The sequence below is a fragment of the Homo sapiens genome, chromosome 6 (assembly GCF_000001405.40).
Source record: "Homo sapiens chromosome 6, GRCh38.p14 Primary Assembly".
In the NCBI taxonomy this organism is placed as follows: Eukaryota; Metazoa; Chordata; class Mammalia; order Primates; family Hominidae; genus Homo; species Homo sapiens.
The window spans coordinates 12,993,258-13,020,992 of NC_000006.12; the positions used below are offsets into that span (position 1 = coordinate 12,993,258).

The 27,735-nt window shown below is 40.0% G+C and overlaps 1 protein-coding gene across 20 annotated transcripts in view; it reads left to right on the forward strand.

Moving 5' to 3' along the window:
* The window catches only part of PHACTR1 (phosphatase and actin regulator 1), a 571,071-nt gene that overhangs the window by 276,491 nt on the left and 266,845 nt on the right, over positions 1–27,735 (forward strand). For 3 of the 20 annotated variants that reach the window (NM_001322314.4, XM_017010464.3, XM_017010458.3), the window contains exon 1: positions 20,297–20,882. The exons of 16 other annotated variants lie outside the window; for them this stretch is intronic. In NM_001322314.4, coding sequence (NP_001309243.1) covers positions 20,630–20,882 — 253 coding nt within the window. In that variant the 5' untranslated portion in view covers positions 20,297–20,629. Of the gene's footprint in view, positions 1–20,296; positions 20,883–27,735 lie in introns of those variants that run through there. One more of the 20 variants, XM_047418375.1, reaches the window with a different exon arrangement.

Sequence of the window (27,735 nt, forward strand, 5' to 3'; positions counted from 1 at the left end):
TCAGTATTAGCCATGCTCTTGTTTACTCTCTGCCAGGTTTTTTGCTAGGAGTTGGGATAGTAGAGCAGAGAGAAATAATGGTTAATAAGTTGGTTCTTGCCTTTGAAATACTCATTCATTAGTTGAGAGAGACAAACACGTAAAGAAATAATCAGAAGAACTTTCAGCAGCATAATAGACTGAACTGACTTTACTGTGGGGTGTCTGACCTGGATACATACCTAAGACACGGAGGGCTGGAGTTTCAATTCTCAATTTAAGGGCAGAGATGTGACAGGCTTGCATTTGCTTCAGGCGAGAGCTAAGACTCTGATTAAGGGAAGCCTCCTCGAAGTCCTGCCCATAGATAAATCTGGAAATTGGGAAAAAAGACAAAACAATCACTTTGCCTATAAGGTCAGGAAAATAGGAAGGAGCTGTAAGCCCAGGGGATCTCTGTAGAGGCAGGAAATTCCCTATGAGAAATTGAAACTGAAAGCCTATGTGATCCAAATTTTTAGTACCCAGAGGATTTGGGAATCCTGGAGCTAAAAGCGAACATATTTTCCCCTCTCCAGGCCATTAGAGTCATTGGAATATTGATAGAAGCAAATAAAAAATCACTCTGTAAGGAGTGGAAAAGCATCCTGTTAAGTATAAACTCACAATGAAAAATCTCCAGATCACATGAAGAAATAGACTAGAATAAAGTCAGCAGATTCAACAAATGAAGAACTAGAAATAAGATATAAATATAAAGGTTTCTATCAAATACATATGCTTACAATAAGAAAAGAAATAGAGAATAAATAGGAGCCACAGTGAAAAAGAAACCACTATGAAAAACAACAGTAAAAAAAGACAGACTAGAAATGAAAAATATAGTCTTTGAAATTAAACACTAATTAAATAGCACAGTGGACACAGCCAAAGATAGAATTAATAAACTGGAAGATCAAAGAAAATCAGCCAGAATGAAGCCCTGAGAACTGAGATGAAAAATATGATATATTAGGTGACACAAAAGATAGTAAAAGGGGATAGTGTAAAGCAACTTCTCTGTCACTCCCTCAAGAGGTGGGATTTTTCCCCCCCTTGGAGAAGTTAAATCCAAAAGCATCTGGATTTAGGCACATAATCATAGCTCCAAAATGAGGCACCCTGTCTGAAATATTTGGCTGACTGGGGTGTTATACTGAGAAGCTATTGAAGGGTGTGGAAAAAATTAGAGATCAGTTCAAAGAAGACTCAGGAAAAAAATTAAGTGATTACTAACTCCAGGAAAAATGAAAAGTTGTTTAAACTAGGAAGTGTAATCATAGAATTCCAAAGAACCATTTTTAACAAAATTGAAATATGTAAAATTTGAATATTTTACAAAATATGATATACAAATGGAGGAGGAAAAGGGGAATGGGAAGGCTTAAGAGCGCTCAGTCTGCTACTATAATATACAGTTAATAGTATTGTAAATTAATGAATTAAGAGAGTATTATAAGCATACTATTTAGAAACTTGGAGTTAAATACCATACGGAATAGCTCAGGAAGAAAAAACAGTTGGAAATTGTTATGTCTGGGGAAGTGAGGAACAGGAGACTACTACTTTTAGCACTATTTAAATTTTTAACTACTTACATATGTTTATTAGATAATGATAATTAAAATATATAAAGATTCATGCTAGTAAACTCAGGGTCTGAGTTTGTTAATCATAGACCCTCACTGAACAAAGGAATCGCCTGCCATTCAGAAAGAAGAAAATTGAACCAAGAAGGAAGGAGTGAGATTGAAGAGGCAGATGTGAAGTTGATAAATATGTTTGTAAAAGTAAAACAACATGAAACAATGATGGAATGTTTTCTAAAGGGGTGGGATTACAGACAAGGTAGAACTGAAAGCAAACCTAAGTAACAGAGAGGGGTGATCGGATTTCAGCATTCTGGGCTTGTTCAGGATATACTGGCCAGAAACATAAGAATATGTTAAAGTTGTAATGACAACTATTAAAAAAAAAAAACAGAAACAAAATATATAACTTCCAAATTAGAGGAAAGGAAAAGAAAGAATAGAACCCCATCAGTCAGAGATCAAGAGGTGCAAAGACAAATAGAAAACCAAAATAATATGAAACAAATGAGTCACAACAACTATAAATAGATTAAACTTCTCTGCTCAAAGTAGAAAAAAAACATGATGCACCAATGAAACAATAGGCAAATATTAACCGAAAGTAAACCAAACTAGCATACCAATATTACTATTAAATAAAATAGATTTTAAAGCTAACAACATTATTAAAGATAAGGAAAATTGTTACTTAATGGTACTCGTTAATACTTAATTACGTATCCATTAATACTTAGTGGTAAATGATTATAGATAAATAATTATGTATTAATACTTAATGGTAAATGATTAATACTTAATGATTTCCTTAATAATGATAAAGGGAATATTTCATAGGAAGATGTAAAAATTTAACAAAATAGTCTCCAAATATGAAATGCATAAATGATTAAAATTACGAGGGAAAACTAATCCAAAATTATAAATGAATTTTTTTAAGACACATTTTTTCACAGTAACTTATACATTAGTTAACTTAGTAATTTTATTGGAGATTTGAACAACTCAAACTATTAATATACAAAGTATTTTCTCTAAAATGCAATAAAGCTATATATGTGTCAAAGATATTGCTTAAAACATATGTTTGGAATTAAATAAATACCTAAGAAATTCGTACATCAAAAGTAAATCATTTCTAAATATGAAATATTTTGAACTGAACAATAATTTAAAACTACTTACAAAATACATGAGATTTGCAAATAGTACTTTGAGGGAAATGTGTAGCCTTGCATGTATGTGTTAGGAAATAGATAATATTTAAAGTGAATTAGCCATGCCGTCAACTCAATAAATATGAAAAGATACAGCAGCACTATCCCAAAGACTGAAAAAAGAAATTATAGAAATAAGAGGTGAAATTCATGGAAAGAAAATCCAAGATACAATGGACACTCAAAAATCAAAGAAAACAAAAACTTTCTTGTTTTGAAAATGTTAATAAAATAGGCAAATCTCTGGCAAGAGGCATCAAAAACAAAACAAAAGAAGGCACAAACAGACTATTAGAAGGACACAGTTAACAGATAATTTTAAAATAACTGAAGGAAATATTATGATCAACTTCATGCAAGTAAATTGGAACACTTAAATAAAATGGAAAATTTTCTAGATAAACTATAAACTACCAATATTGACTGAAGAAGCACTAGAAAATAAATCACTACAATCACTGAAGAAATCAGATCTATAGTAAAAATCAATTAGGCTGATGAGTTTTAATAAACATTTAAGAAGGGTTACTCTTAACTTATTTAAGCTATTCCAGAGACTAAATATGTGACCTCTATTTTATATAAACTTTTCAAGACAATAGAAAGAGAAGGAATGTTCAACAAATCTTTTTATTAGAGTGATACAACCCTTGATCTAAAAACTGGAGAAGGACCATATAAGAGAGAAAACATACAGATCAATCTAATTTATGAACGTAAATTAAATGCAGAAATTCTAAATATAATATTTTAACCCAAGCCAGCAAACTATTTGATAACTTTTTAAAATTTATAAATGTATGGCCGGGTGCGATGGCTCACCCCTGTAATCCCAGCACCTTGGGAGGCCAAGGCAGGCAGATCACCTGAGGTCAGGAGTTTGAGACCAGCCTGACCAACATGGAGAAACCTCATCTCTACCAAAAGCACAAAATTAGCCACGCGTGTTGGCGCATGCCTGTAATCCCAGCTACTCGGGAGGCTGAGGCAGGAGAATCGCTTGAACCTGGGAGGTGGGAGTTGCAGTGGGCTGAGATCACCCGCCATTGCACTCTAGCCTGGGCAGCAAGAGCGAAATTCCATCTCAAAAAAAGAAAAATTATAAATGTATTATAAACTTATAATACATGTATATATGATTTATTACATAATAAATATATATTTATATATAAGTAAATATATATTAGTATATAGTAAATCTCTATATAAGTGAATGTATATTATATATTTATGTATAAGTAAATATATTTTATATATATAAGTAAATCTATATTATATATAAGTAAATATATATTTAAAGCAAATATATATTGTATATATTTATATATAGATAAATATATGGGGGATGGGGAGGAGAGAGTCTTTTTATTCTTCTGCCTGCCATTTTTTCTAGTTTTATTCTATTTTTAATTGACACATGATCACAGCATATATTTATGGGGTACAAATGAGATATTTCAAAACATTTATACATTGCGTGATGATTAAATCAGGATAGTTAGCATATCCATCACCTCAAACATTTATCATTTTTTGTGGCGAGAATATTCAAAATCCTCTCTTCTAGCTATTTTGAAATATACAACACATTGGCCAGGAACGGTGGCTCACGCCTGTAATCTCAGCACTTTGAGAGGCCGAGGTGGGCGGATCACAAGGTCACGAGATGGAGACCATCCTGGCTAATAAGGTGAAACCCCGTCTCTACTAAAAATAGCAAAATTAGCCGGGCACGGTGGCGGGCGCCTGTAGTCCCAGCTACTCAGGAGGCTGAGGCAGGAGAATGGTGTGAACCCGGGAGGCAGAGCTTGCAGTGAGCCGAGATCACGCCACTGCACTCCAGCCTGGGCGACAGAGCCAGACTCCGTCTCAAAGAAAAAACAAAAAAAATAAATATACAACACATTATTATTAACTACAGTTACCCTAGTGTGCAAAGAACGTCAGGACTTATACATAAAAATATATTTAAAATATTCAATATAACTCAGTCCACTGGTACATCACGAAAGTAGCTTTATAAATCAGTATAGGAAAAATCAACTGCGCAATATGCAGTACTCAGGAAAAAAATTATTCTCCATATTGTAAAAAATAAATTGGCTTCCTGGCTCACATCATATATAAAAACAAATTCCAGATGGATTAACAACCTAAATATGTAAAGCAAAGCCTTGAAACTTTAAAAAGAGAATATAGGTGAAGATTGCATAACCTCATCATAGAAAAGAATTTATTTAAAAGTCCAAAAATAGGCTAGGCACAGTGGCTCATGCCTGTAATCTCAGCACTTTGGGAGGCTGAGGCAGAAGAATCCCTTGAGCTCAGGGATTTAGAGACCAGCCTGGACAACATAGTGAGATCTCATGTCTACTTAAAGAAAAATTAGCCAGGCATGGTGGTGCACACCTCTGGTCCCCACTTACTCAAGAGGCTGAGGCAAGAGGTTGTCTGAACCCTGGAGTTCAGGGCTGCTATGAGCTATGATATTGCCACTGCACTCTGGCCTGGGCGACACAGCAAGACCTGGTCAAAAAAAAAAAAAAGAAAAGAAAAAGTAAAAGTCCCAAGGCAGCGCAAAACATCAAGTCAACAATTGGTAAGTTTAAATTTAAAAAAATCTTTATATGACAAAGGACTCACAAACAAAATTATGACTGAAAGACTGGTACTACACATAAAGCCAAAAACAATGGTTATACTAGAAGAAAAAAGAGTCTATATAAATCAATGAGAAAAAAAAATCAATAAACAAGTGGACAAAATATGAGCAAGTAATTTGTAGACACAGAAACCTGAATACCTAAAAGGTAATCAAGATATAGCAATTAAATAACCCAGCATTCTGAAAACCCAAATGAAATAATGGTAGTACCAAGTAATGATGAAGTGGAAAGAGAAACTTTCATACACTGTTGATGAGAGGGTAATTGTTAACGATCACTTTAAGAGCTATCTGTCAATATCTAGTTAAGCTAAAGTTGCACGTACCCCATGACACAGCAGTTCTACTTATATTCTTTAGAGAAACCTTTGCACAAGGGTACAAAAGAGAATTGATTAGGATGCTCACTGGAGGATTGTCATTGACAAAAATTTACATACCAACTAAATAACCCTCTGTAAGGGTTGAAGAATCTTGTGATAGAATCATCTATTGGAATACTAATGCAACAGGAAATATGAATGAACTAGGTTTACATGAACCAACATGCAATAATCTTAAAATACGTTGAGGCCGGGCATGGTGGCTCACGCCTGTAATCCCAGCACTTTGGGAGGCCAGGGTGGGTGGATCACGAGATCAGGAGTTCAAGACCAGCCTGGCCAAGATGGTGAAACCCTGTCTCTACTAACAAAATACAAAAATTAGCCGGGCGTGGTGGCAGGCCCCTGTAATTCCAGCTACTCAGGAGGCTGAGACAGAGAATTTTTTGAATCCAGGAGGCGGAGGTTGCAGAGAGCTGAGACGGCGCCACTGCACTCCAGCCTGGGTGACAGAGTGAGACTCTGTCTCAGAAAAGAAAAAACAAAAACATAGTGTTGCATTAAATATAGAATGTTACAAATGATTCTTAAAGTGTGATACCAAGTATGGACATTGGAAGCCTATAAAGCAATATTTTATATTAATGCTCGCAAATGCATACCTATATGGTAAAAGTTCAACAGGACACACAAACATTAACTTCGGGGTAGTAGTCGCCTCCAGGAAAAGGTGTGGGAAAAGGGAGCATCCGTGATGTTTGGCTATATCTGTAATTTGTATTCCTTTACATTATTTTTGAAACACTAAAGCAGCTAGGACTCCATGTTAACATTTCTAAACCTAAATAATGCCCAGGTGGAAAGTATTATATTCATCATTTTTTGTCTTGTATTTGAAATATTTCATGAAGAAAAACTTAAATACTTACAGGATGTTACAATAAATGTTCAGTTAGCAGTAAGTTCCAAGGTGGCACAAAGGACTGAGCAGGGAACTCTGTTGGTCAGGGTGTACTGCAGGTGTCTTCCAAAATGGCACCCTCACTGCTATGATCAGAAGAACAAGAAAGAGGCTCCAGAAAGATATGAAGAAAGGGCATGTGGGAATCCACGACAAGGCATGGTGTTGTTGAGGAACTGTAAGTCATCTGGAGCAGCTAAGCTTGAAGCGGTGGCAGGTACCAAAGTTGCCGGATGACCCTGTGCTGTGGCTCACACCTGGAATCCCAGCACTTTGGGAGGCCAAGGCCAGAGGATCCCTTGAGCCCAGGAGTTCAAGACTAGCCTGGGCAACATCGTGAGACCCCGTCTCTATAAAAAATTTAAAACTTAGCTAGGTGTGGTGGTGCACATCTGTGGTCCCAGCTACACAGGAGGCTGAGGTGAGAGGATCTCTCGAGCTCAGGAGGTCCAGGCTGCAGTGAGACATGATTGCACCACTGCACTCCAGCCTCAGCGACAGAGTCTCCAAAAAAAGAGTAGGGGAGAGAGAGACAAAGAGAGAGTGGGAGGGGGAGAAAGAGAAGAGAGGGAAGGAGGGAAGGGAGGAAGGAAGGAAGGAAGGAAGGAAGGGGGGAGGGAGGGAGGAAGGGGAAGGAAGGAAGGAAGGAAGGAAGGAAGGAGAGAAAAACAAAGGTGGTGGAAGATGCAGCTATAGAGGAAGATTAAGCCTGTCTTGGCTGCAGGTCACCATTTGTTACCTTAGAAAGGTAAATGCTCACAGCAAGCTCTCACTTCAATCTAGAGTGTCATTTTTCCTCTTCCAACAAGGTTATTTATGTTTCTTTCTTCCCCAAGATAATCTTCCAGTTGCAATTTAGCATCTATTAGAGTCAAAGAATTACATTTTTGGAAAGGCCTTAGCAATCTTCTGCTAGTCCAATGCCCTCATTTTGGCAACCGAAGAATGTATTGATCACTTTGAGGATTAACCCCTCTGAAAGGTTTTGTCTTTGTAATCAAAGCTAACTTAGTTGGCTTTCTGGAATCATTGATTCCTAGGAAAGGTTTATGATGGAATCAGGGGATAGACTGTGTCAGAAGTGGTTCCATTGGTAGAAAATGTCATGCAAGTAATGTTGTGATAAATAAAGACAGGTGTTTAATAAATTACAAATGATGTTGATGGATTTTTAGTTGTGAAAATCAATAATGAAAGAGGTTGTTACTTTAATTCATTTTCTAAAGAATGAAATGAGGATGCCATCTCATCCCACTCTCAGCTTTCGAGTATTTTTTCATCATAAATAAGAGAAAAATTGGGAAGAAAAATTAATAAGTCTTGGCACTGTATTCGGAGGAAGTGACCAAAAGATAGTGCAGAGGGTTCAAGTGCAGAGAAGAAAGGGTGACCTTGAAAGGAGGATGGTTTTCACACGAGGACAGTGCAAATGGTTTGGGGCTGGACTTGACATTGAGCATATGACTACAGATTCCAACTCTAGTTTTTTCATTGTCCTCTCCCCACCATGACCTGCAACAGCCCAGAAGTCTTTCTCAAGGCTTCTCTGTAGCATTCTGAAATTCAGTTTCTCCCAGAAAAGGTCAATCTCTCCCTTTTCTTGATTCAGTGCCACCTCTCAACAGAAACCTGACAGCCTAGAAAGTGACATCCAATAAATAGTGTGCCCCCCACTTTGGGGAAGCACTGTCTTGTTTCTGGTCTTCTCTCCTCCTTCTCACTTTGGTGTGAAAGCTTTGTGTTTCCTAATCCTCCTGATCATGCTTGAGTGATAGGTAGATTTTAACAGAATATCCATGAGGAATTTCACTAATTTCTAAGGCTGTCATCACTGGAAGTTTCAGTCTGGGTGACTGACAAGTGATTACTGCGGGTAGCAATATGGATAGTAGTATCAACCTGGATTCAAATTGATTTGGATTTGAACTGTGAAGATTTTGTTGACTCGTTCATTCCTCCCCGCAATACTTGGTGCTCTAAACAGTTCTCAGCAGTCTCTTTATGTTACCAAGCATATGCTGGTATTTACAATTAACACTGAACTATGCATTTACAAGGAATGAGCCCTTCCTTCATGAGTCACCTGTCTTTTCCCTCTTTTATAAAGTTTGAGCTAAGATCATTTTGGAGAGCACAGTGGCACATTGCTCATTTGTTTCAGCAAACAACACTCTGTCTCAGGTAAAGGCAAAAATGCCTGCTCTATTAGCTCAGCTATCCTATTTCTTTCACGGCCTGGCAAAATGTCAATATATACTATAAAGCATTATATACATGTCCACTTTTTTTTGGTTAGCAGTTACAAATATTTATTCACAGGAAAATGTCTCAGCTCTATTTTTTTTATTTCAGTACTCTGCATGGAATTACCTATCTCTCTCATTATTTATTTGTTAACAAAACGTAGGAAAAATTTTAGGAGAAAGCATTTCCTATGATTATCATGTGTCTTCTATATTACCCTCAGGCTTATATTTCCTCAGGCTTAAAAGCACCATGAGGAAAAGGCCAAACTCTTTCTCTGTTGGAAAATATACATAAGATCGAAGCAGTGTGATCTATTGGTTGATCATGTGCAACTGTCAAAAACCAAACTTGGCTGTACCAATGCCTGCCTCGAGAGTCAACTCTAAATGAATGTAATGATGGGTAATTGTTCCCAAACTGTGTATAAAGTGTTCTAAACAGTTCCCAGTTGTCTTAATATGCACCATTTAAGAAAAATTAGCTAATCTGAATATGCAAATATGATAATATGCCCTCTATGGGCTCATGAATGTATTAACAGAAAAGCTTGAGGAGTTATGCCGGTAAGTCACATGCATTAATGCCCTGAAGTATGTCTGAGAACTTAAACTTTTGAACATCAGGTTTAGGTAATGGAGCAGTGTCTATATATTTACCTTGCATGCAAAACAAGTGTGTTTCATTTTTAAGGTAAATTTGAGATTAGGATTTAGTTAAGTGGAAATGATAGGGCTTCTTTGCCTTTAAGAAATGGACAGATTTGAAGGTTTATCTTCATGAAATCAGAGGATTTTAACCTGAGAGTTCAGGTCTCCCTGATATATTGCCAATTTGGGAAAAGAAAGAGAAAGGGGACTTAAAAAAGAGAAACTGGAAGAAGGACTTCACATAGTTAAAATTTTTGCAAGATTCCTTTAAACTATTTCTGTGCATTAGACTTGGTAAAATATAAATATATGTTGATTTATTATCTATAGAGTCAGAATGTTTCATTCATTTTTTATCATAACTCAGACTTTCTCTAAGGATTGATTCTTTTTGTCAAAATTTAATAATTCTGTTTTTTCACCTGCTGACTGCCAAGAAAAATAGCATGTTTTAAAATACTTTTAAAAATAAATTACAAGATTTGAGATAGAGTATTTGTTTCAGTACTTTAAAAATAATCTATAAATTGAAAAGATAGATTTACTTCCAGTGTAAATAGATAGATGGATAGATAGATCCTTCATCTTTAGGAAGTCTTCCAGGAATTTTTTTTTCTAGAGTGCATTGGAAAGATATTTTTGCCTTCATTACTGCTTCTTTTAAAAAATTTTTTAATAGATTTAGGAAGTATAAGTGTCATTTTTTATTACATGGATATATTATGGAGAGGTGAAGCCTGGCCTTTGAGTGTAGCCATCACCCTAAGAGTACATAGTACCCACTAAATAACTTCTCATTTCTCACTCCCACATCCTCCCACCCTTCTGAGTCTCTAGTGTCTATCATTCCACTCTCTATGTCCATGTCCACGGGTACCCACTGTTGAGCTCCTACTTATAAGTGAGAACATGTGGTATTTGACTTTCTGTCTCTGAGTTGTTTCACTTAAGAGAATGGCCTGTGGTTCCATCCAGGTTGCTGCAAAAGACATGATTTCATTCTTTTTTTATGGCTCAGTAGTATTCCTATATATATATATGTATATATATATATACACATATATATATATCACATTTTCTTTATCCAGTCATCTGTTGATGAACATTTAGGTTGATTCCATATCTTTGCTATTGTGAATAGTGCTGTAATAAACATATGGGTGCAGGTATCTTTTTAATATAATGATTTATTTTCCTTTGTGTATACACTCAGTAGTAGGATTGCTGGATTGAATGGTAGATCTATTTTTAGTTCCTTAAGACAACTCCATCTGTTTTCCATAGAGGTTGTATTAATTTACATTCCCATCAACAGGGTATAAGTACTCCCTTTTCTCTGCATCCTCACCAACAATCTGTTAATTTTTTTACTTTTTCATATTAATAATAGCCATTCTGACTGGTGTGAGATGGTATCTTACTATGATTTTAGTTAGCATTTCTCTGATTAGTGAAGTTGAGCATTTTTCATATCTTTGTTGGCCCTTTGTATGTTTTCTTTTGCAAAATGTCTGTTTGTGTCCTTTGCCCAATTTTTAATGGGCTTATTTGTATTTTGTCGTTGTTATTGTTATTTGAGTTCTTTGTAGATTCTGAATATTAGTTCTTTGTCAATATATCCTCTTGTTTAAATTTTACTTTAAGTTATGGGATACATGTGCAGAACATGCAGGTTTGTTACATAGGTATACATGTGCAATGGTGGTTTGCTGCACCTATCAACCTCTCATCTAGGTTTTAAGCCCCACATGCATTAGATATTTGTCCTAATGCTCTCCCTCCCCTTGCCTCTTTCTTATGTGCAAAGTTCTGGACGGCAGCATGATATGTTGGAGAGTGGATATGTCTGGCCTGCGTTCACTTCAGATCTGGGCTTTGGCACATCTGTGCAATATAGCTTTGTGCAACTTCCTCTCACCAGCTTTTTCCTTATAAGGGAAACACCTCAAACCTTGTAACCATTGTAAGCATTAAGTGATAAAATTTGTGGTTAAAAATATAAAATCTATGTAAAATATACAATACTATATAACATTTGCTTGTAATATATATTTAATATATTTCTTATTCTTTAAATATATTTTACAAATGAATATCTTTAAATTTTTTATTAATAAAAAGCCCAGCAGTTTCTCAGATACACCAGAAGCTCACTAAATGATACATCCTTTACATCCTTCCCCTTCTTCCCTGCTAGTGGTCTTTCTTTCCCTGCAAACTCATTGCTATGAACCTGAATGGGTTTTTAAAATCTCTCTCTCTCTTTTTTCTTTCTTTTTTTTTTAGACAAGTTCTCACCGTTGCCTAGGCTGACCTTGAACTTAGACTATCTCTCTATGGAGTATGGAGTATATAGAGTATATACATATACTGTCTCTATACATACAGTATATATGTCTCTATATATATATCCACATGCATCCATACAACATACATACAACATTCACATATTGCTGTCCTACCCTTAAGCTCCCTTTATATGAGCTCTCTTTAGACTCCTCTTAGCTTTTGATTTACCCTTTGATTCTTGCAGACAACATTGCTTTTACATGTAAAATGGCTACAAACTGTTATATTAATTTGTGTGGATATAATATGAATCACAGAGGAAAAGCTCTATTGAAATATAATGTATAAATATAAATATCCTTTCTCTTCAGCATGGCTTCTGTACTGTAAAAATTGGTTTGGAAGCTCAGGGATCACAGGACCCTGGAGTGCCGGAATCAAGATACAACCTGCCTTGTTAGAAGTAGAGGTGTTCCTTTGATCATTCACTTCACAAGTCTTAGAGCATATTCCATTGTTTTCCTCGGTGAATTCGACGTCATATTTCCCATGGAAGAAATCAATTGTATGTCCCACTTTAATACACCAGTGACATCCACTTAAAATCTTCCCAGAGCTGACTACCTACAACTCCCTGCCCCACCCCACCCCCCACAATTATGTTGCATGTGTAACTAAAGTTCTCACACTTGGAAAAAGGGCCACTCCACTCTCTATTTCTCACCAATGTTACATTATCCTATTACCTTGTTCCAGCACCTGCTCAGTGCAAACAATTAGGATTCTGTCCTAAAGGCCAATTATCATTAGCTGATGGTGAGCTTTTGTTAAACGGCCCTGAGGGACTCACCACAATGTAGATACAATCCCAGCCCTAAAAGGATCACATCAGCCAGTACACAACTACAGTGTGTTTTAAAGATTAAAAGAGCAGGATCTGCCAATACAGATGATAGATAAGAACCTATGCATCCTATTTTTATCCCTGTTCTATTTACTACCAGCAGCGATGCTCGGCATGGCAGCCAAGGTTTCTGTGTCCTGTGCCTGTAGTCCGATAACCTTTCTTGGTTGTGTTTTATGATGCCATATGCTCTATCCTAAAATAGTGCTGAGGGTCCTCTGAAGAAAAACTACCTAGCCGCTTTCTGAATGTCAGTGGAATGTTTAGAGACAGTAAGGTGAGCTTTGCTGTAAACTCATTTTGACTCAGAGTTCTACTTGGCCAAATGCTAATTGTGTGACCTGGGAAATTCATTTAATCTCACCGATCTTCTGTTTTGTGAAGTACAAAAAATGGAAATACTGCTTCTATCTTATGATGTTAGTATGATATTTAAATAAGGTGATACATACACACCTTATATTAAATAAGGTGATATATACACAACTTATATTAAATAAGGTGATACATACACAACTTATATTAAATAAGGTGATATATGATACACACACACACACACACACACTTCTCATTGTTTTATTAGTCTCGATAGGCTAGATCGTGTTGCAGTGAAAACAACTCCCAAATTTCAGCAGCATGACACAACACAAGTTCATGTCTCATAGTACAGGACTGCTGTGGGTCGTTAGATAAGCTGAGCTCATCACTGCGTCACTTCAGAACCCAAAGGGAAGCCATAGCTGCTATCTTGAACTTCAGTTATCTTTTATAGGTCAGAATGGCCCCACTCACAAAGGGTTCTGGCTGTGCCAACTGCAATCCTACCATGTGCCTGAAGACAGCAAGTCAGAAATATTTGGAGGGCACTAGTAATGTCTACAATATTTGTTTCACAAAAATGAGATCATATTTTAGTCAGTTTTGTGAACTTTAATGTTCTCATTTAACAATATATTGTGGAAATCCTTCCAGGTCCTCTTATTTAGGTCTGACTCATTCTTTTTAGTGGCATCATGCTATAAATATACCACAATTTATGCAGTCATTCCTTTATTGCTTGACTTCCCAGCTGCTTTATTTTATTTTATTGTAATGTAAACACACTTAATAGCACCTTTATGTTCTGGTACTTTTATTTCTATAAGACAAATATCTAGAAGTGTCTAAATCTGCCAAAAAGAAGAAAACATAAGGCTATGTTTATCAGTCTATAAATCTCATTTAGAATGGGATTTATAGTTTGGAGCAAAATGTAAAGAAACTGAATACTTTGGAACAACTAGAAGTCTCACTAATCTCTGATAATTTTCAACCTCTACCTAATCTGTCCCCTATTTATCCCCAGACATGAGCAGCAATACCTAATCCTAAATTTTTTTTAACTTAGAATAAGAGTCTTCCTTGGATATTAGCGATACAGGCTTTAGAAATGCTTAATGTTACAAGACTTTGCAGAAAAATTTCCACCAGACCAGATCTTCTTTCTGTCATGTCCACAACGATGATATTCACTCTGAAAACATGGCCTATTTTGGAGATCCTTTTTTTTTTTTTTTTTTTTGAACTTAAGAGGTAGACTACCCCAGCCCTCTTCTCATCAGTGGTAATGTGGAAGAGAAAGCAGTCTTCCGAAATAATGCTGCAATCAAAAAACTACAGGAATCATATTCTGGATAGTTCTCCTTCAATCACCTCTTTCTCCACCTGTTTTATCTAAAATGATTCCAATCTTCCTTCTCATCATGTTGCTATCTGCTAAGTGTTCATAGAATAATTTTCACAGAGCAATCCCCTTAGTAAGCATAATTATCACAAGCCTAGAAGTAAAACTACTTTCCATTCAAAGTTTCAGGGAAACAAACCTCAGCTAAAATAAACAAATAAAAAATAAAAAACAAAACCCCACAAAACACACAAAAAACTGCTCACACATTTAGATGTTTCAACTAGATTGTTTTATGCAATTGTTTCTGTAAACTCCTTGTCCACTAACTAAACTTGTCCCTGGAGCTTATATCAAAAGTCTGCCAGATTTGATCAAGAGATAATAAGGGAAAAGCTAAAGCCAAAGGAACTTTCGCTTTAGGCTTCAAAACACAGTTGGCAGAAAAACACTGTGGTGGAAAAGCCTCACTTGCGGGGCAATCAAAGCTTGTCAATCATATGCAGGAGTGACATTCAAAATATTTAATAACTAGACGTGCAAGAGTCAGAAAGAATATTCAATCTGTTGGAATAGATGCCAGCCATAAACAATTCATACAGCTGGACCAGTGCTGAGGCCCTGAATATGACCTCCACTTACATACCCCTAAATTTCCTAAGGAATTTTCACTAGCCATTCACAGCAAGCTCTGATCACATCTCCTTGCTCGAAATATAAATGTATTATATCAAATATGAGACAGCCTGGAAGCTATATCTCCTCTTAATCACAGTCTTCTCTTCCATTCCACTCCATACTTCCAGTCTAGCATCTGCAAAAAACAAACAAAAAACTCAAACCAAAAAATACCCCCAAAACAACAACAACAACACACACACACGCATAGCAGCAGCGCTGCACCATTCTGTGTCCATGAACCATTTAGAAGTACTTTTTAACCTTGTTCTTAATCTGCACTTTGTAGATGAGCTTGCAGTTCTGGTTTTAACATACTGCACATTTAGAGCAAACCTGGAAAAAAATAGATGCTATTCTTGTAATAAGAATATCACATATTGTTGATGTTTAGGGAGTGTATTGTTTCCTAGGGATGGTGTAACAAATTATCACAAAGTTAGCGGCTTAAAACAACAGATATTTATTCTCTCACTCAGTTCTGGAGACCAGAAGTTCAAGTTCAAGGTGGGCCAAGATCCCTCCAGAGGCTCTTGGGGAGAGTCTGTTCCTCCCCTTGCTCCAGCTTCTGGTGACTGTTGGCATTCCTGTGGCAGCAGTGTCACTCCCATCTCCGAGTCCATCTTCACATTGTCTTCTCCTCCTCTGTCTGTCTCTCCTCTGTGTGCCTTTTATAAAAAGCACTTCTCACTGGATTTAGAACCCACGCAGAGAATCTAGGATAATCTCCTCATCTCAAGATCCTTAACTTAATTAAACCTGCAAAGACACTTTTGCCAAATAAGGTCACACTCACATGTTCCAGGTGGGAGAGGCGGACACCATTCAACCCACTGCAGGGTGGATAGGAACAGGAAAGGACACATAGAAGCAGGGTAGAAATTGAATGAATAGCTTGAGTTCAAATCAAAGAAAAAATACTGGGTGAGGAAAAGAAGATTTTTATAAAAATCTTTTCTTACATTAAATATGTATAGTAATTTCTATTTGAGTACACTTCCATTGCTTTGCCCTGTGTTGACCTTAATATTTTGTATTTCTACTGTATCTTTCTCCGTAAGAGTTAAAGCACTTTTGTGAGCATTTTTAAATTTCTACCCTTAATTTTGATTGTAGGTTTCTTTAAAGTCTCATAACAGCTGGGCATTCAAAATGGGGAGGAGCATAGGCAAGCAGAAAGCAGAACAAAGCCTCAGTTCACAGGAGATCACACACTGCTTCTCACATTCAGCCTTGGGGGATTTCAAGGTCTGCAGTTGCCCTCACATCACCCTAATGGTGGGATCTTCTGGAAAACTCCATTTGCTGGCTGTAACAGGTCCTGCCAGGCCAATGGCTGCCCATCCTTGACCTCCCCACCCCATGAACTCCTAGTCTGCGAGCTTGCAGTCTCCCTACACTGCCACCACCACCACCACCACCACCACCACCACCCTCTGCCCCCTACTGCTTCAGATCAACTTTCTCAGGGGACTCCTCCTGCATATACGCCATCTCTTCCACAATAATCACTGCAGAACTCCCTTTACACATGACCCTCCCCACCCCACACCCCTGATGTTAAATGCATAGATCTCTGTGGCTACTCTTGGTTACAAACTTCCACACGTTTTCAGCTGGCTGTCTTCTGTTATTCTTATATGTCCTTGTATTGAGTGCACCCTCTTTCCTATTAATTTTTTTTTTGAGACGGTGTTTTGCTCTTGTTGCCCAGGCAGGAGTGCAATGGCGTGATCTCGGCTCACTGCAATGTCTGCCTCCCAGGTTCAAGCGATTCTCCTGCCTCAACCTCCCGAGTAGCTGGGATTACAGGTTCGCGCCACCACACCCAGCTAATTTTTGTGTTTTTAGTAGACACAGGGTTTCACCATGTTGGCCAGGCTGGTCTCAAACTCCTGAGCTCAGGTGATCCACCAGCCTCAGTGCCCCAAAGTGCTGGGATTACAGGCGTGAGCCATCACACCCAGCCCTTCCCATTAAGTTTCAAGTTCCATGAGATCAAGAGTCCTATCCATGACTTACTTTGGAATGAAAATATGTGTTCCTCTGGTAGGCTGATTTCTAGAGTGTGCATCTGAAACCTCAATATGCATCCAAATCACCCGGAGGTCTTGTTAAAATGCAGATTCCGGGCTAGAGCTTGAAGTGCTGCATTTCTAACAAGCTCTCAGGCACCTGGGATCTGCTGGTCCTTGGGGTCATATTTTACGTAGTGGGGTCTTAGGGCACCCAACAAGTTTCAGAAGGGGATCTGCAAGTTAAGTGTATCCTAAATAAGGGATGGGAAGGAGACTGTCATACAGCTAAGTGACACTGAGCGTGATCACAGGAGCTCGTCCTCATTTAGATCAACTTGGTTAAAAAAAAAAAAGCTACAAGGAAACGATAATAATGGACACCAGTAGTAATTCTTCACTGAGGCAGCATTCAGGGTACAGAGCAGGGTCAAGAGGAAATGCGGGACAGTGCGCACATCAGCCCTGCTGCCTGCTGAGGCAAGGAGGTAGTGCTGGAAGCTGCCAGATTCGGCCACCTTCCAAACTGCTGCCCATACTAAGCTATATTCCATCCTGGGCCCTTCTTCACACACATTCTGTTGTAACAATAAGAGATGGCACTTCTTAGCTTCTGAAACTTAAACTAATGATTCTCGAATTTAGTCTGAGACACTAAAATGCACACATCTGCTAAGAACAGCATGGTTTCATACAACTTTCAATGGTGATGGAAATATTCTATAATCTGCCTTACCCAATGCAGTGGCCACTAGCCACATGCGGCCACTGAGCATGTGAATTGTGGTTAGTGCAACTGAGGAAATGAATTTGAATTTTATTGAATTTTAATTCATTTAAATGTAAACAGCCACATGTTGCTAGTGGATACTATATTGCATAGCACCATTAGAGGCTGCAAACTCAGGGAGGACAGTTCAGAAAGATGGATCCTCAAACAAGAGAAATGACTCTCCCAGGTAAACTTCATACCTTTTATACACTTAACTTGAACAAAGGGCCCCTACAGCCCAGGGCACATCCTTTAATATTTGAGGCTAAGCTGGTGGCTGTGTCAGTGTTTGGTATGATACAATCACAATGCCCGTTGGCCAATTAAGATAGAAACATACAGAGCCCTTTAGTATTCTGCAAGGGAAATAAAAGATTGCTTCAGTCTTAGTTGCTTTAATGAGGTCAGATGGGGTTTCTGCAGGTCCACTGTTCTAACCTGTGGGGCAGAGAGTAAGGCGGAAAAGGCATGCAATTTAAAATACACATTTACGGAAACATGTAATTTGCTGGTAAATACACAACCTCCTCTTTTCAGAAGGGAGTTAAGGGGTGATAGTTTGGAGGAGGGACCCAAGGAATTACAAAAGAGAATAACAAATGTTTGCTCAGAACACAATGCAGTAAATTCCCTGGTGCACTCAACCAGTATAACAAACAGGTCCTTTGTAATCTCTAAGATAAGGCTTATAATTAGCCAGGGACCGGGTGACATGAATCTGACATGAGTAGACATAGTGGATTCACCTGTGGTTGGCCTGGCTGGTAGTCCAGCAAAAGGGGGGTGGTTGCTGAAGCCCTCAATGGGTACCAAGAGGGATCGAGATCTAATTACAGAGACCTGCATTCTACATCCATCCCCCTCTAGGGGAGGCGATGGCAGCTGGACACCTGACTTTCCTAACTCCAGAATGAAGATGAAGCTCTTATTGTGCTGATTTGTGCAGACTACTTGCAGATGAGAAGTAGTAGAAATGATAGAGTGGTAGAATTGGAGTGATCAGAAGCCTGTTGTAATACAGTAATTTAATATCCTCAGTGGATCGTTGACCTTGTTACCTGTGAGGCAACTGTATGTGTAGAATTCGCCCAGTTGGAGGAGAGACTAGCAAAGACCTGCCTTTTGTGGAAGAGGCAGTGACAGGGAATTGTGAAATTAGCTTTGAGGAAGTTCCTAGAAACAACTGGTAGTGACAGTGCATTCTTTAACTGACACTATTCCAGTAGGTTGGAAAAGAGGACAAGGGTGTGACTCAGAGTGAATGCAGTAGGGTGGAAAGAACACAGGCTTGGGAGCAGGTACACCTGGCTGTAAACACCTGTTTCTCCATTTATGCTTTGCATTGAAGTCACCTGGGGAGCTTGTTAAAGGTACAGACTCCTGGACCCTGCACTGACCTACTAAACCAGAATATCTGGATTTGGGGCTCTGTAATCTCTATTTTTAAAATAAGCACACAAGGTGATTGTGATATAGGGCTTCTCTAAGCCTTAGTTCTCTAAAAGGTGATATCGGACTGGCGATATCTGAGTCTTGGGATTGTTGTGTGAATTGGTGGTTTATTAGAAATAGCATGATTTTAATAAGGCAAATCCATGGCTGAAGAATAATAATTACAAGTTATTGAGCTTTGATTTGTTCTGCATGGTTTGTTAAAGGCACTGTTCTCCCTGCAATGCCAGCTACTCAGGAAACTGAGGCAGGAGGATCGCTTGGGCCCGGGAGTTCGAGGCTGCAGTGAATTGTGATTGTGCCACAACACTCTAGCGATAGAGTGACAGCCCATCTCTAAAAACAATTTTTTGTTTTGTTTTGTTTTGTTTTTTAAAGAAAAGACCCTGTTCTCCCTTTGGAAATCCTGGTAGATGTCACTCGCTTTGCTAAGCCTTAGTCACTGTGCTAAAACAGCTGGAGAGTTATTTGGCCAAATTAGCTGACAATCCCAAAGTCGCAAATTGTTTCTGAGTTTTGATAAAATCAGCGTTTTCTTTTCCTTTTTAATGACCCTGGCGTTAAACAATCTCCTTCGGGTCGGAGAATTTCTATGGGAGGTGAAAACATCAATTATGTTGTAACAGGTTGTCTGCTCCAGTGAAAGTCAAGGGCTACGGGTTGGACCCGCCGGAGAGGGTAATTTGCTGTGGCCCTGGAGGGGAGCTTGCACCCGAGGTTTCCCAGTGCAGCGCTTTCCGTGTGAAACATTTTGCTTTCATTCGGCAGCTTTAGGCGTGAAGAAAAGGGGGAGGGGGTTGGCGTTCCGCCCTGGAGCTCTTGAGAGTGAAGGTAGCTTCAAACCCAGCAGGCTCTCAGTAGCTGGTGCTGAGATTTCCGGAGGGGTGGGGCTGCCAGAGGAGGATGTGCACGTGAGACCCCGAGAGAGGTGGGAGTGGAGCTTCTCAGGTAGGACCCAGGAGCGCCCTGCCTACCCCCTCCTCCGGCTTCGGGATCCGGATTGGCTGGGGCAGCGAGGTCGGCGAGGTCAAGACCCTTTCGGCGCCCTCCCCGACCCGCCCCGCCGCGGCGGTGCTTATATAGAGCGGCCGGCGCGGGCGGGGCGGGGGCATGCTGGCGAGGCCGAGGGGCGCGAGTGGCAGCGCGCGGGGGCCGGAGCAGCGCCCGGCCCCGGGCGCCCGGGGGCCGGATGGCGGAGCCCACGCGCTCAGCGAAGCCGGGGAGGTTTGCGCTCCGTTCGCCGCGCTGCAGGGAGGGCGCGGTGCCAGGCGCGAGCGCCGAGAAACCCAAAAAGAAAGCTTTTTATTTGCTGAGGATGAAGCCCCTGAAGGAGCCCGCCCCCAACAACAACAACAACGTGTCCTTTGTGATCCACTGTCAACTAGGCAAGGAGATCAAACACATTTGCAGCAACTGCAGTCGGGGGGAGGACGCCCGGGACGGTGAGTGCCGGGGCCCGTCGGGGCGGCGGCGGCGAGCGCGGGAGGCGGGGAGGTGGCTCGGGCTGTCTCAGTTTGGGGGCACCGCCGGCGTCTGTCGCCTGGAAAACTGCGGGGACATCCGCACTCCACCCAGACATGACAGCCGCCCGCCGGGCACTTTGCAGAGTGCCACCCACAGCCCAACCCGGGCTCGCAACCCTGCACATCCCATTGACGTATATGGTCCCCAAAATGAGGGTTTTGAAACAGTTAAAAGAGCAAGTCTGGGATTTTCATTTGGGAAGCCGAGGCTTAGGGGATTTGTCGGTAGCAAAAGCGCTGACTCCTGCTTTTTCCTTCCATGGGCTTCTTAACTGTTGCCCCGTCCTCCTATTATGATGGGATACAGGGTTTGCTGGACTGCGTTACGGACATGGGCTTCCTTCGGGTGGCATCAGTTTGGAGAGGCGGTTTGGCTGCGGCGCCCAGAGCCCTAGAGACTTGTGGAGTTGTTGAATGACGCCTGTTTAGAGTAAAACATGGCTGTGATTTTTGGAGTGCCGCTGCTGGTCCCTGCTGGAATGATGCCCAAAGACCAAAATGTGGAGAGGTGGGGGAGGGGGCGCGCAGCCGCATCTTCCAGGTGAGCCTGGGCGTGTGCGAGCCAGAGCTCCCGCAGTCTAATCTGAAGTAGAGCAGTGAAGGCGTGCCGGGCTGCCAGCGACTCTGGGCAGGAGGAGCCCAGAGCGAGGGACCGCCGGCGCGGACCAGGCAGAAGCCTCTGCAGCTGTGGACGCCCCTGTGTGGCTGTGCATTTGCGCGACCCTCCAGGCGGTTCCCGAGCAGCTCACCGAACAGGCTCTGCAGGGCCGCTGGAGGTCATGGAAAAGTTTTAGGCAGCAGATTTTACATTGAAAGCCTTAGCTACCGGCCGACCTGAAGCTCGTCTCCATGCCTGACACGCACACCTGCTTGGGCAGGCAGATTTTCCTATCAGCTAGGCAGGTTTTGCTGTTCCTTTTGGAAGAACAAACATTACTTAGGATCCCTCCCGTTCTTAGTCGGCCTCTGAAGTGCAGAGTAATGAAATGACTCTGGCTTGGCTAATGTCTTTTCAAAATTAGAGTCCTGCTAGCGTCATTATCGTTTTCTTTGATTAAACTGCAAGAGAGGTTGTGCAGGACACCACCAGGCATCCAAGAGGAAAACTGGGACGGCACTGGAGGAAGGCGCACACACAAAACACATGAACGCCCCTGCTATTAGGTGTAGGGGGGATATACGTTTCTGAGAAGCACACACTGACTGACATGTGTTGGTTACTACATCAGCTGATAACATCGAGACCTATGGAATACAAATGGATTAATCAGATGACCCAAAGCCAGACCTTTCCCATGTAACGCAACAGAGCTTGAGATGCAGGCTAAAATGGTTATTAAATGTCAGTTGCTCTCTTGACTGAATTGCTGCCCAGATGGGCTGCTTCCACAACACTGGGAGTTTATTTAAATTAGTGTCTGTAAATGCTGCTGCAGTGAGGAAAGGTATATGTCCATATTCAAGGATGTGTGTTTACAAATGTCATTATGAGTGCTGTCACTGGTAAATGCGGTATACCCCGTCAATGGAGACAGGTATGTATTTTAACCTACAGCACACAGTTCTTCTTGAAACGTGCGTCATCTCCACAGCCTCACACACTTCCAAAAAGCTATGTATGGATGCTCACATATCACCTGATAGGATTATTTACCCTCAAAGGATTCTTAAATAGGGGAGACCGAATGTTATAGTGCCTAATTTTTGCCTAATTTCATGCTGCTAATCCTGCCAATCTATTGTGTGGTGCACTCATTTAATCACCAAAATGGAGTGAGGTCAGGAGTTTAACCCTTCTTCTTTTACTGCCAGAAACCAAAGCAGCACTGCCCACTGTGGAAGTTCCAATAAAATTTCACTTTGGGCAAGATTGCCCTCCCATGATAGTCTGTAGGGAGTGGATGTTCTTTTAGATAAATTCTCTGGAAGCGATTTGCAATTTGAGTCATATTTTCTACATGCCAGGAGCACCAGCTATTTTAAAACATTTGTATGCTCAAGATCATAATGAGCCAAACAGATTTCCCCGATGTCCTGTTTGTTCAGGCTCTATAGAGGAAGGTGCTTCTTAAGGTGAGGCACACCTGTATTATGTCCAGTACCAGAAGTGTGCCTGGTTCCTCATTCATCACCGAAGAGGCCACTTGGTGGCACCCACAGAAAATTCTGATACAACTTGAAAGCCCTTCTAGAAATTTTACACAGATGAAATTTTACAAAGGTATTGTTCACTGAGTTTCTTTCACACTTAATTTCTTTGCATATGAAATAGTTATTTAAAGCATATTTTAATAACTTGCAGTTTAAAGACAATCTATAAAGAATAAACTTTAAAGGATAAAATATGTCTGGTTATTGAGAGGTACATAAAAGGTGAAATTACATTTTAGCAATTATCTTTTTACTCAAGAGTTTTTTTTTTTTTTCCTGGTATCTACTAACTAGTATTAAAGATGTTTTGCTAAACTTATTTTAAGTAATTCTGTATTGTTAAGAAACCATAGAACACAATTCACCATTAATGGCCAAAGACAGTTTTTGTTTCCTTCCGTCTTTGCTGTTTTGGTTCAATACTAAAGCTATTTTCAGGTGAGGAAACAAGCTTACATAGGAAAGCCACAGAGTAAATACAGGGGAAAACAAAGACTCACACCCTCATCTGTTTCACTTTAAAACCAAGATGCGGCTGGGCGCGGTGGCTCACGCCTGTAATCCCAGCACTTTGGGAGGCCAAAGCCTGTGGATCACTTGAGGTCAAGAGTTTGAGACCAGCATGGCCCACAGGATGAAACCCTGTCTCTACTAAAAATACAAAAATTAGCCAGCATGGTGGCACATACCTGTAATCCCAGCTACTGGGGAGGCTGAGGCAGGAGAATTGCTTGAACCCAGGAGGTGGAGGTTGCAGTGAGCCAAGATTGCGCCATTGCACTCCAGCCTGGGTGAAGAAGTGAGACTCTGTCTCAAAAAAAAAAAAAAAAAAAAAAATGCATCAACAACAACCAAGACACTTTCCACTGTACCTACCATCAAGTTGATTTTTTTAATGGCCATTTATCTCTGCCACCTACACTGAATGTGGAACATTAGGTATTGTGGTGTCTGTTTATATCTGTGTGTGTGTGTGTGATGTATACATGTGCAGTCTCAATAAGCTCGGTTTATTATGGTAAAGAATGAGAAGGAATTGCAGAATTTTCTGCTGCATTTAATTGTTTTTTCCCTCCTTACCTACTTGATAGAGAGGCTGACTTTAGTGGGGATAGAGGGAGAGTAATTTACAACCAGGTAGATTAGAAGTTATGGACGTCATAAAGCCATAAGAAACACAGCTAAGTCATCGCTGAACTTATATTAAAAGTTAATAGGAGCATATGATTTAATTTACAAATAGTTAAAAATCAAATTTAGAGAAAATCTAGAAAGTGAAGTATTTTCTGTATTTAATTTCATACACATTTCTGTGTGCATTTGAACTCCTTTTGAGTCCATTAATAGTGAAGAATAATTTTAGGAATTATAATATATTTAATAATTATGTATTAAGATGTAATTTCAATAGAAATAAAATATTTTAACAGTTTTTAAAAATATCTTGAAGCCTCTCAGTCTTATTTTGTAATGACACTTAAAAAGTAATAAAATGATGGATTTAGAAACAAGACGTATTGATTGCAACTGCTTGTCAGTGCCTTTTACATGTAATTTATCAGTAGATCACAGTTGTCTTCATTTTACTATATATGATTCCTATTTTTTAAACATTTATATAGAAATTTACTAATCCATGGACTTGCTAGATGTTTTCCCAAGTTTTGTTTTAGGGATTAGAAACATTTAGCATATTTTCTAATGGATTCCAATGTGAACTTTAGGAATAACAATTTGTCATACTAATTCTCTGCTGTACTGACTGTAGAGTTCATCCATTGAGACAGCCTTTTAGGAGAGAATGCCCTGTGAGTTCCTGTGGATCACATCCCTCATTTTGCAGGTGAGAAAATGAAGATGCATAAGGATTAAGTGAGCAGTCTACCGAGGTCGAACCACCATTTGGTGTCAGGGCTGCTAACAGAACCTGTCCTTGAAGAGGGAAGCAGTTTTCAATTGGGGTTCACAGCTGAATTCTGGAAACGTACTGCCTGTTTTCAGTGTCTCCTCTGCTTGCTGGCTGGGTGATTTGGGAATATTACTATATTAGTTGTGGGGATTCAATGAGATATTTGGTACAAAGCATTTAGCATGGCGCCTTGCAAGAGAAAGTGCTTGAGAAATATTAGCTGCGATTGCTAGCGTTTGTATTGTTACCCCCCAAGTCCAGTTTTGCCTTGGGCCTTTCCCCCTGCTATACTGTGCTGCTCTGCCTCTTCTGTAATTAAACTTCCTTGGATTGAGTCCAAGATGAGAGCACCCACTTCTTCTCTATATTTAAACATATATTTCTAACAAGACAAATAAGGTAAGGGTCAGACTGAGGACAGAGTGGTAGGTTCCACCTTGGGCAAGAGAAGGAAGGTCAGGAAAAGCCTCTTTCAGTTTCAGAAGCAGTTCAGATTGCATCCACTTCCAAAGGAATTCAGATTGCAAGTACCAAAGATGGCACAGGGTTTTTAAGCAGAGGCGATGTGACCAACTCATCTATCTGTTTGTTTATTTATTTATTTACTTATTTATTTGAGATAGGGTCTCACTCTGTTGCCCAGGCTGGAGTGCAGAGGCAAAATCATGGTTCAGGCTATCCTCCCACCTGGTATCTGGGACTATAGGCATGTACCGTCACATCTAGCTAATTTGTGTATATATATACATATATTTTAAACTTTTACAGTTGAAATATATATATATATATATATATTTTTTCTTTTTCTTTTTGTAGAGACAGGATTTCCCCCACATTGCTCAGGCTGATCTTGAACTCCTGGGCTCAAGCAGTCCACCCACCTCAGCCTCCCAAAGTGCTGGGATTACAAGCGTGAGCCGCAGTGCCTGGCCCAAGATGCCCTTTAAAAAAAGTTTATTATGAAAAATTGTACACATATGCAAAAGTAGACATAATAGGATAATTAATTCCCATAGACATATCACTCAGATTCCCCTACTCTTGTATTATGTTAAAGCAAATTTGAGTGAGTTTTTACGATGCTGTTGCTGTTAGTGCCTAGGCAAGGACCAGACAAGACAAGGACCCAGCTCCATGCTGCTCATAGCTCAACAAAGGATGTTTAACGACCTTGAACAGCCAAAAGACCAAGATTCTGCAATATCTGTTTCAGGCTCAGAGTATGTCCAATAATACACTTTCAATCACCAGCAATTCAAAGTCAGCTTGCCTTATTTTTAACATAACTTTGAGCTCATATATAATTTTACTAATAATTTCCCCTTTTGTTCTAATATTGCTCTGACACTTTACAGACATCTGTAAATAGTCACTTAGTTTAGGAGAAGACATATTTAAACAATTTGTGAAATCTATAGCTTGAAATATCCTCATTTGTCTAAAGGAGATAAAAACACTCACATTGAAAAAGGTAATAGATAAAATATATCCATAAAACTTTAATGGGGGTGGGTGAAAGGATCAGTACTTGTTTCCTAGCCCTAAACTTCAATTTCTTCGGTTCACTAACTTATATATGAATGGTGAGAACTTTTTGGACTTGACTGGGCTTTGGGGCCTTCTAGAAGTGTCTAAAAGCCTGAAGGGTGGTAGTCCATTGAGCCAGTTAGGAGCCACCATTGATGATGTTCAATGTGGTACTGCTGGTGGACAGGCTACCTGTGCCAGGGGGACAGCTGAGCTGAAAGCCAAGAGATAAAGGTGAGTTTGTTGAAGGCCAGGTAGCCAGAGAGAGGGGCACAGGAGACCTTACTTCACCCCACAGGCTGTAAGGGAGAAAAGGTAAGTCCAAGGAGGCAAAAGTTGCAATAGAACCAGGAACTAAACAAGAATCCAGTTGTTGGTTTGGAAAAGAAGAAGTGAATTATAGAGATTTTCAGCCCAGGGGAAAAAATCAGCCAGAAGGTTAGCAGTAGACCATTCAAGAGAAGTTATATGATGATTGTTTTTAGTGTTGTATTATTTTTATACCCAAGTCCAGAGGAAGGATAGAACATGGTCATTTGTTTATTCATGTATCAAGCATTGATGCCTACAGTGAACTTACGTGTGAGTAGAGAGGTAAAGAATGAGTTCCTGCTCTGAGAGAAACAGTCCAGCGAGGGACGTTGCTGTGACAGGCAGACTCAGGATGTCATGGACACGTAGGTGGGGAACCCATCTCCTCCCTGGGGGTGAAGGCCAGCAGGTCATGTAGGACAAGATGGTACTTGGGCTGAATTGAGTAGGATGAATAGGGTTGGGCTGGCAGATACCTGAAGGAAAGAGTCACTGGAAGCAGGACAAAGACCAAGGGTAGAGAAAGGTCAAGAGGCCAGAGGAGGGCATTGAATGCTGCTCTTCCAGCGAGGGTCTGTCCTATCTCCTCATGACTGCTATGTTTCTAGTGCTGAGAACGGTGCACAGGTATTATCCACTTAAGATATGTTCAGTACATGAATGTACATGTTCGTTTATTATGGATCTAGTCGATGAATGTGTGTCCCTTTATTACAGTGGCTGTAAGGACAGTGGTGTGATGTGGCTGGGGGATGGTGAGAAGGGCACCTGGGGAGATGGACAGAGGCCACATACCAAGGGCCTGGGATACCACACTAAGGAGCTGGGACTTGCTCCATGACGGGTTGTAGTATTTCCTGGAGGATTTTTTAA